General features: G+C 39.6%; 1 long non-coding RNA gene across 1 annotated transcript, besides 1 other annotated feature; it reads left to right on the top strand.

Moving 5' to 3' along the window:
* Positions 1-225: 225 nt before the first annotated feature.
* LINC02252 (long intergenic non-protein coding RNA 2252) lies at positions 226-4,855 on the top strand. Its single transcript, NR_146869.1, has 4 exons — positions 226-371; positions 1,573-1,692; positions 4,214-4,306; positions 4,728-4,855. It is a non-coding gene; the product is annotated as a long intergenic non-protein coding RNA 2252 (long non-coding RNA).
* Positions 7,368-7,662: a silencer, noted in NCBI's record as "tiled region #12620; HepG2 Repressive non-DNase unmatched - State 24:Quies". NCBI's record gives its function as "represses a minimal TATA promoter and a strong SV40 promoter by Sharpr-MPRA in HepG2 cells {active_cell/tissue: HepG2}" and the evidence as "EXISTENCE:reporter gene assay evidence [ECO:0000049][PMID:27701403]".

Genomic DNA, 10,001 nt, shown 5'->3' with positions numbered 1-10,001 from the left:
GGAGTAGTGAGTACCTCTTTCTGCCAGGCCCTCAGAATCTGTATGCATACTCCCTGTAGGTACAGGTCTTCACATATTCCGTTTCAAGTGTCAAGGCAAGTGTCTGACACAAGCGCTAAGACTTACTTCCTCAAGCATCAGAACAATTAAGCTCTTCAAATATTCAAACAAGTCCATTTGATTTTCAAATTTTAGTCCCCATTCTGTTTCAGAACTTGGTTACCAGTGATTTTTATCTGCATTGGATCTACTTTAATAAACCCCACAGCCTGAATAGCAGCTACTAGGGTAGTGCCAGTGGATGTATATGGAGACTGGGCTGGAATGGCTGAGTGTGTGGGTGCGCAGCTGGGAGCAGCCATGGCAGTAAGGTAAGCAGAAGATAGGCACTGGGAACTGAGGTAAGTAGAAGATAAGCACTGTACAAAGTAAGTAAAGGAAGTAGGGTAAGTAGAAGATAGGCACTGGGAAGCATTAAAGGATAATTTTTAAAAGAGGATGTAACCATGACTCACACAGTTACAGAATGAACATGTGTCAAAGATTTTATTTAACTCGCTAGTTAATGAGGTAACTAGTAAGATGTTACAACTTGCTCAAATGAAGATAGAGATTTATATTTTCTACCAGACAAAATCCATTTGCATTGCCATATACAGGAATCATATAGACGAGAAACATTTACATTACCACTGGTTTTCTACAACTTAACTTCTATCTCTATAGAGTGGAAAATAAGCTTTGACAAAGACAACCAAAAGCTAGCGTAATCCAGATAGTTGAGCTAGACAGGACACCCACTAATCTCTGTTGTTGCCCAATTCAAAGTCTCCTAAGTTTTCTTAGTACAAGAATGTAAGCTTGTGGAAAGATGTGCTCCAAAAGAAAGACTAGAGACTGCTGGAATAATATTAATCCTAATGAGCACTTACTGAGCATTTAGTATATGCCAGAAAATATACTAGGCCCTTTACATACACTATTTCATTTTCCTTAGCTAGTAAGGAAGGTATTACAGACACAACAATGGAGGCTCATTGATACTAAGTACCATGAACAAGGGCACAGTGCTGAGTTAGGACTGAAAATCAAATTATCTCACCGGACTGTAGTAACGCAGCATCCCTACCTCCAACTGTAGTTTTTATATTTGGAACAACAGTAAAGTTGTGGTTTTCAAGGTCACAAATCTCCAACCCCAGAACTCTTCGCACTTGCCACTTTGCCTTATAGATACGGTGGTAAAAAGAACTGAATCAGCCAACAGGAGAGATAGTTCTACTCTGTCATTATCTAGCTATGTGAACTTGGGCAAGTCAGTTAACTACTGAGATGTTACTTCGCTTTCGAAATAGAGAGAACATATCCGATCTACCTAAGTCAAAAATTCTTTGAAAATCAATAGGTAAAATAGATGTGAAACACTTTGAAAATATAAAGTCCAGCGTGGCTGTTAGTGTTCTCTGTTGTTGGGTTTTGAAAGTGAAAAGTGAAGGCAAGCACTGGAAGTGGGATATCTAATTGCCATAGAAAGCACTAAAAAAAGTTTATTTATTTATTTATTTATCACAGTAGACAGCCAGTAACTTCTGATAAAAGGGAGTATCTGAAAACTGAAAGGCCCCATAGGAATGCCAACAACATTTCAGAAGTTTTCAACCCAAATTAAAGACGAAAAAAGTGAAGTAGATGGTAAGTGGAAGTAGCTTCTGTGTTTAGGGTCTCTAGTGTTTAATTCATGGTGCTCTCTGGGGCAGCTTATGATTCTTATCTAATTGCCTCTCCATGGATCTTACTGGCTCAGCAACAAGCTGAGCCAGCACCTGTAGTGTAGCACTCGGCCCTCAGATCACATGGTGGGGATGTACCTGTGGTTCACAAAAGTATTCTACAAGGTGTCTCTCCTGCTAAAGTAGAGAGAACTTTAGTAAGCATCTTATCAAACTAAGCATGGAAGGGACTGGCTTAACCCTCCCTAAACGTTCAGTACTTTCATTCCCTCTAAGTGGGAAAATGCCAATAGTTTGCAGTTCTTGGTCTTGTGGGATTACCGATTCTATTTTAGTCCTCATACATTATACATGATAAGTATAAAAGGAATTCATTTTTTTCTGATAGAAAAGAGACTTTTACCTTTAGAAACGAGAATCATAACTTAAGTTGTGGTAAAAAACAAAAACTCAACTTGTCTTATTTAAATGCTTTTGGGTTTAATTGTGGAAGACAGTGTGGCGATTCCCCAAGGATCTAGAACTAGAAATACCATTTGACCCAGTCATCCCATTACTGGGTATATACCCAAAGGAATATAAATCATGCTGCTATAAAGACACATGCACACGTATGTTTATTGCGGCACTATTCACAATAGCAAAGACTTGGAACCAACCCAAATGTCCAACAATGATAGACTGGATTAAGAAAATGTGGCACATATACACCATGGAATACTATGCAGCCATAAAAATGATGAGTTCATGTCCTTTGTAGGGACATGAATGAAGCTGGAAACCATCATTCTCAGCAAACTATTGCAAGGACAGAAAACGAAACACTGCATGTTCTCACTCATAGGTGGGAATTGAACAATGAGAACACTTGGACACAGGAAGGGGAACATCACACACCAGGGCCTGTTGTGGGGTGGGGGGAGGGGGGAGGGATAGCATTAGGAGATAGACCTAATATAAATGACAAGTTAAGGGGTGCAGCACACCAACATGACACATGTATACATATGTAACAAACCTGTACGTTGTGCACATGTACCCTAGAACTTAAAGTATAAATAATAAAAATAAAATAAAATAAATGCTTTTGGGTTTAAGTGAATGAAGTCATGAAGAAAGTGAGTAAAAATCTACTGCTAGCACCTAGCAGTAATTCAACTTTGTGAATTTAAGAAAAGCACCCTCTTCGGGCAAATTGACAAAAGGTGACCCTACTGGACATGACAATGGACATAGGCAACTCTCAGATGAATTAGAAAAGAGTGCCCCTTCCTATGAGCTGCCAGAGCTAGAGACCTGGCCCCAGGAGTGGAGGCAGAATTCAGCCCCACCCCTTCCTTCCTCCTCAAACTCATTATCTCATGGCAGGGGCCCAAATAACACATTTTATCCCCCTGTGCAAAACAAAGTCTATTTCTTAGAATTCAGCCTTCTTAGAAGGTCAATAATGGGAAATGCAGGGCTGTGTAAATAATTACATCTTCTTCCTACCATAACATCATAACTAGCACAATTATAAAAGACAGATAGGAAAATAATAATAGTCATGAAAATGATAATAATGTACTTTGAAGAGGAGGAACAGGTAAGGAATGGCATCAAAGGCTGGAGGCTGAGTAAACTTCATAAGGAAAAGTTCTTGGCTGATGGCCACCCAGCTTCAATATTCTGCCAGGGTGCCACTTGCATAATTTAAGAGAACTGATCCTTTTCCCTCACCTCTATTGCCACTTGTCCACACATTTATAATAATAGATTACACCTGGGCAGAGCTTGTATTGTACAGTGCCAAGTACTGTATATATATACTCACATCAACTGTGAAGCTGCTCTCTCCACTTTACAGACAAGGAAAGTGAGACAGAGAGAGGTTAAATAAACAGCCCAAGATTGTAGCTGATGTATTAATCCACAGCTAAATGGGTCTCCTTAAAGATCTGGAAAGCTGCTGACAAGAAGCACCGTCAAAGATGAGGTCAAAAAGGAAACTCCTTTTCAGTGATCCAGTACAGGACATTCTTTTTAGGCATGGAACCCTGGGATCTGTCATAAGTTATGAAACTTTGAACAAACCATTCCACTTCCACTTCCTCATCTTTGAAAGGAAGGCATTGGATGGCATGTTCACTTCCAGCTCTAAAATGCTGTTCCTCTAATTTACATGCAAAATAGCATGTAGACAGCCTTTAGGGCCATCTGAATGTAAATACCACATCTACCTTTTTGAAGCCATGGGGCCTAGCTAAAACTCAATTTACTCATCTATAAAATGAGAATAATAATAATATCTACCCCTTAGGGTTATTGAGAATATTAAATAAGAGAATAAATGTTAAAGCCTTTAGCATATCATTTAGCTTTGGCTATGTGACTAGTACATAGTAAGTGTTCAAGAAATTTTCCTTTATCACTATCATCATCATCATCATCACCCTGTGTGTAGGTGCTACTTGCGAAGGTGCTCCAATTTTAATTCCCTGCAGATGCAATAAAGAGTTGGCAAATTCCCAGCTGGGCGCGGTGGCTCACGCCTGTAATCCCAGCACTTTGGAAGGCCAAGGCGGGCGGATCACGAGGTCAGGAGATCGAGACCATCCAGGCTAACACGGTGAAACCCTGTCTCTACTAAAAATACAAAAAAAAAAAAATTAGCCAGGCCTGTTGGCGGGGGCCTGTAGTCCCAGCTACTCGGGAGGTTGAGGCAGAAGAATGGCGTGAACCCGGGAGGCGGAGCTTGCAGTGAGCGGAGATTGCGCCACTGCACTCCAGCCTGGGTGACAGAGCAAGACTCTGTCTCAAAAAAAAAAAAAAAAAAAAAAAAAGAGTCGGCAAATTCTCAGAGTTGGCCAATTTGGAACCAAGTATACTATGACTACCTTCTTTTAATGTTAAAAAATGTTATTTAGCTTGCTCTTGTAAAACTGACATTTCAGAGACTTTGGGTAAAGTGATCATTCAAAATCAATTCCCTTGAATTACCCCTACATGTTTCTGCAGCATGGTCTATAGAAGAAGAAAGAATTCATCATCATTTCTAGGAATATCCCCAATCATAATCCTAAGACTCCAGCTCAAAACAATAACTGGCAACTCTTCAATAATTAATTAAAGGAAGGCACACCCTCTTTTCAGCTTTTTGGGAAATTATACTATGCTATCCCACTATCCAATTTCATGTTATCTATCATTTAGAGGTAGCACAGTATTGTAAAAAAAAGGCATTGAACTGGAAATTGAGTATGGAAACTCAGATTCTAATTCCAGATTTGCTACTAAGTAGCTCTATGACTTTGGGCAACTCATTTGCCCTTTCTGTGTCCATTTTCCACCAGCAAAATGTGGGGCCTGTACTAGACAGGATTTATGGGCCCTTCTAAATCCAAGCTTTTGTGGTTGACTCCTAATAAATTATTTCATTGTTCTTATGACAGAGTGTAATCTCTTTACCTCTTTCCTCCCGCTCAGGGTGTACCCAAATGCCTGAATTCATACCCAGAATTAAGGGCTTCAGTTCAGCTCCCAGAACCTTGCTTATATAGAAACTATAGGTCATTAACAAAAGAGGTCTCCTGCTACTGTTGGGAGGACAATGTCAGGGCCATTGGAGATTGAAACCTCCATCCTGAAGAGTCTGTAAGGATGGATAGAATTTCAACACCTAATGTCTCCAGACATAAAACTGCTGAAGACATAAAAAAATTATTTAAACAAAAGAATGTGGCTCTAATATGTTGAAATTGCCATGGCAACTCACACCAGGGTCATAATATCAGTGGAAAGCAAACATCTGAGAATTGCATTATTATGTCTTCTGGTTCTCCAGCAGCTGACTAGCTGACTGCTTCAGAAGAATGAGGAGGCAGAAGTCAATACAGTCATAGCAAATGTCTCCTTCTTGTCACTGTCCACCCACACCACCTCCCCATGTGTTGAAAATACCTTGTGGCTGAGCCATCTGACTGGACATAACCCTTCTTTGAGGGAGGAGGGAGGGTTTTTCTATTCTTGCCCTGACTCATCTAGTGGGTAGGTGTCCAGAAAGCTGGTAGCCCCTGGGTTTGCAGACACATCACTTGTGGTTCTAGGGACCACTTGACCTTATAGAAGAGGGAGGCTGGGAAATGTCTTTATGTGAACCCGGGAAGAGGCAGCGTGGGTGAACATACAGCAGTGACTGTCCTTTAATTTAGGCAAAGATTCAACATGTAAAGAGCACCTACCATGGGCCAAGTATTTTGATGTATGGCTTCCTTTTGTCCTTGAAGTTTGTTTTAATTTGATTCTGCTTATACAAAAGTAACTGAGTTTCCTTGGGTGGGTGTAAAGGAAGGGTTCCCTCCTACCAATACTACTATAAATTAACTTTTATTGTATAGTTTTTATGACATAAATATATAAAGAGGTCTACTTTGTGCAAAACACTGGCAGGAAGAAGGAAAGACTGTGGGTATAAAGACAGTCCTTCAAAACAGTTTGCAGTTCTCATGGGGAATCAAAATGTGCGTCAATAATAAGGAGAAATCAGACAGAGGAGTGCTGGATATACAAATGGTCAGCCTCGATATTACAAAATAGGATTCTGATGATGCAAACCCACTCTTTTAAAGTTTGCTTTTTAAAAAATAAGTATTGCATCCACATGATACAAATTCCAGTAGGAACAAAATGCTATTCAATGAAAAGCCTCTCTATCTCCCTTTTCCCTTGGCCTTCCACTTCACATCTCCAGATGTAACCACATTGATAGTTTCTTGTGTAGTCTTACAATGTTTTCTATACATCTACATACATGCTTGTATTTTCTTCCTCCTTGGTTTGCTTAACTTAAAAATATATCTTCGAAATATTTCCATAGCTGTATATATAGACTTGCCTTATTCTTTTAAATCAGGTAGGTAAACTATAGCCCACAGGTCAAATTCAGTCTCTACCTGTTTTAGTAAATAAAAGTCTTATTATAACACAGCCACATCTGTTCTTTTATGCATTGTCTGTGGCTGTTTTGTGCTACAAGGGCAGAGTTGAGTAACCGTGGCAAAGATTGCAGGGTCTGCAATGACTAAAATATTTATTATCTTGCCCTTTACAGAAAAATTCTGCTGACCCTTCCTTTAAATGACTGCCTAGCTGGGCATGGTGGTGCACAAGTATAGTCCCAGCTATTAAGGAGTCTGAGGTGGTAGGATCTCCTGAGGCCAGGAGTTCAAGGCCAGCCTGTACAACATAGAGAGACTATCTCTCTCCAAAAAACAAAAAAGACTGCCTAAATTCTACATATGAATATGTCATAGTTTATTTTAATAGTTCCTTAATAAAGGATATGTAGGTTATTTCTAATCTTATGTTATTACAAATACTGCTGTAATTGATGTAATAATATATGTGTCATTCTCAAACATGTGCTTATATCTGTATAAGTCCCTGGGAATGGAATTGCTGAGCAAAAATATCATGGGTTTTTTTTCATGGATATATTTGTTAATTTGGTCTTCCTGATATCAGTGATGTTAAGGAAGCCAGAAGACAAACCAGCTGTAAGAAGCAATGAAGGGCTGTGCTGTTAGGAGAGGAAATGAAGAACACTATTTTAAACACGAATGAATGGTAGTTCCTTTCAGCCATGCCCCCAGAATTGGAAGCAGATAGATGGAAAATGCATAGGGTAACTCCGTTCAAATGAATCTACGGATGTATCAGGGTTGGGAAACCAATGCAAGAGCATTCACTCCTGTTAAGGTCATTCTTTGTCCTAATTGCAAACTCCTCCTCACCTCCCTCTCTGTTTGCATTTCCTAAAAAGAGCTGTGTCAGAGCCTTGGAAGTAAACATGTGTTGCTATTGGAGCTGCTGCTTTGAGAGGCAACTGTGTAGTAGACCACCGAGGGCACGGAGTTTGACTTTGTGTGGACAGGTTTGCTCAACTCTGACATTAGCCTGAACAGGTCCTAGTGATGGGGCTTTTGGTTCTCTAGCTATTGCAAGCCAGTTTGAGCTCATCCTTAGGAGGGGGAAATTCTGGAATGAACAAACATCAGTGATGCTACAGACAGTCACCTGTAGGAGACTCAGAAGAGTTCACATCTTCCTGGAGCTGGAATCAGGAACAATTCAGACCTCTACTTTCACCTATTGACTCCCTGCGATGTGCCAGGCACTGTGTTAGGGTGAGTACATATGGATGAATGAGAGAACTTGGCTGCCTGCCAGAGGAACTGCAGGTCTATCTGTTTCCCTTTGCAAGACTGCCTGCCTCACAGCCTTGTAAAGGGAAACAGACCTGCAGTTCCCAAACTGTATCTTTTAATTTTTGGAGAAAAACACAGGAATACTTGACATCTGTCAGACAAAGTGTGAACAACTAACTCAAAGCAGTTCACAGCTTCAACATTAGATCACACTACATCCCTTTTGATAATGCCATATGTTTGCAAAGCTAAGTTTTCAGCAGTTGCTTTGCTAAAAAGCAGGTACTGTGCAAAACTTAACATGGAACAGGAAATGAAGGTGGTGCTGTCCAATTTCATTCCAAGTTCAAGAAGCCCTTGCATGCCCAATGGGTGCACCCATCCCATTAGTCGGTAATTGTGGTTATTTAAGAATGAAATAAAACATATTATTTTTCCTTTAATGTGTGCATATTATTCTTTTCAAACAACTACTAACTTATTAGGACAGAGATAGTTATGAAATTGTTTGGACCTAAGTAACTAAGAAATGGAAGTGGTAAGTATTTCTTTTTGCCTGTGTGTACTGTGAAAAAATGACTAAAACACGAAGGACACTGTGAACTGAAAACGCTTGGGCACTTCTGCGATGAACACTTAACACTACTTACCAACTTTGTGACCTTGGAAAAGTTAACTCTTCAAGCTCAACCTCTGGTTCCACAACTGTTAAACAGGGACAGCAAGACTTAGGAATTATTGTGAAGGTTAAATGAGATAGTGCAAGTGAAGAATTAGCACAGAGCTTGGCACATGGTAAGAAATCATTAAACACTGGCTAGTACAAATCCACAGAACCCTGGCTATCATAAGAGAATTAGTATTTAACCCTAATTACCCTAACAATCTCAGCTTCACATTCATTTTTAAGCCTACAGCTTGTCATATCAAATGCTGTTGCCATGGTGCCTGCTGTAATATTTGGGACCAACCAAATTATTCTGAAATCAGGAAATTAACAATCCCCCTGAAGCTTGTCGAGGTACTATTTGAATGACTTCACTGTCAGTCTTTTGTTAGGGTTTTCCACCTTATATTAGTTCAGAGATTGCTTATTCTGTTTGGTTAAAAAAAAGTCAGGGGGAAGGCGGTGGTAAATTTAGTGACACTTTAGGAGGAAGTAAATTTAGGACAAATTGCATCAAAATTATTTTCTGGAGTCTGAGAATATTTCTATGTTTAATATTTATAGAAACATATTTCTATGTTTCCAAAAGCTCTCGTGACTTGACTATAGTATGATTTTATTGTGACTTGAGTTTTTTTAAAGCTAATTTTGGATCGAAGATCATCTTCCCTCTGAAAGATCAGTTTATAGTAGGATTCATGACTCCTCACTTAAAAAACAAAAAACTTTTATTTTGGCTACTACTCTAATTCCAAACCATTCATGAAGATGGTTGTTTTTGTTTTCGTCATGAGACAGAGCCTTCCTGGCCTTTCAGCAAAGCTGGTAACTCTTCTGCCATTTCCAGATGAGTACTAAGAAGTTACTAGGCTTGTTAATTTTAGGAAAGACAGAACAGAGTTAAATAAAGGAGGAGAGAAAGCCAACACTCCCTTTGTCTAGATTAGTTGCTCTCACATGGGAAGGGAAAAGGATTCTGCACAGCAGGGGACATTTGGTAATCCTGAGAGATATTTTTGGTCTTTGCAACATGGGGACACAACATAAGGGTGGGGAGCTGCTACTGGCATCTGGGGAGTAGAAGCCATGGTAAGCCATCTTACCATGCACAGGGAACTCCTTACCCTCCTTACCCTCCTTACCCTCATGCACAACAAAGAATTATCTGGCCCAAAATGTCAAGGATAATGAGGTTGAGAAAACCAGACTAGTCTAGATGTTATTTCTTTTCTTCATTAAGTCACACTTAAAAAAATTCTTTCTTGTATCTCCTCTTCTTACCTAAGGGGTTCTTTTGAATGTTAGCTTCTGAGATTAGAAGTAATCAGTAGCTGCAGAAAAATATCAGGTTTTCTCCAAATCAGTGGTTCTCAACATTTCCGCACATTAGAATCATATGGGAGAACATTCAAACTATGT

The sequence above is a fragment of the Homo sapiens genome, chromosome 15 (genome assembly GCF_000001405.40).
Source record: "Homo sapiens chromosome 15, GRCh38.p14 Primary Assembly".
Classification (NCBI taxonomy): domain Eukaryota; kingdom Metazoa; phylum Chordata; class Mammalia; order Primates; family Hominidae; genus Homo; species Homo sapiens.
This window is presented reverse-complemented; position numbering and strand designations above follow the sequence as displayed.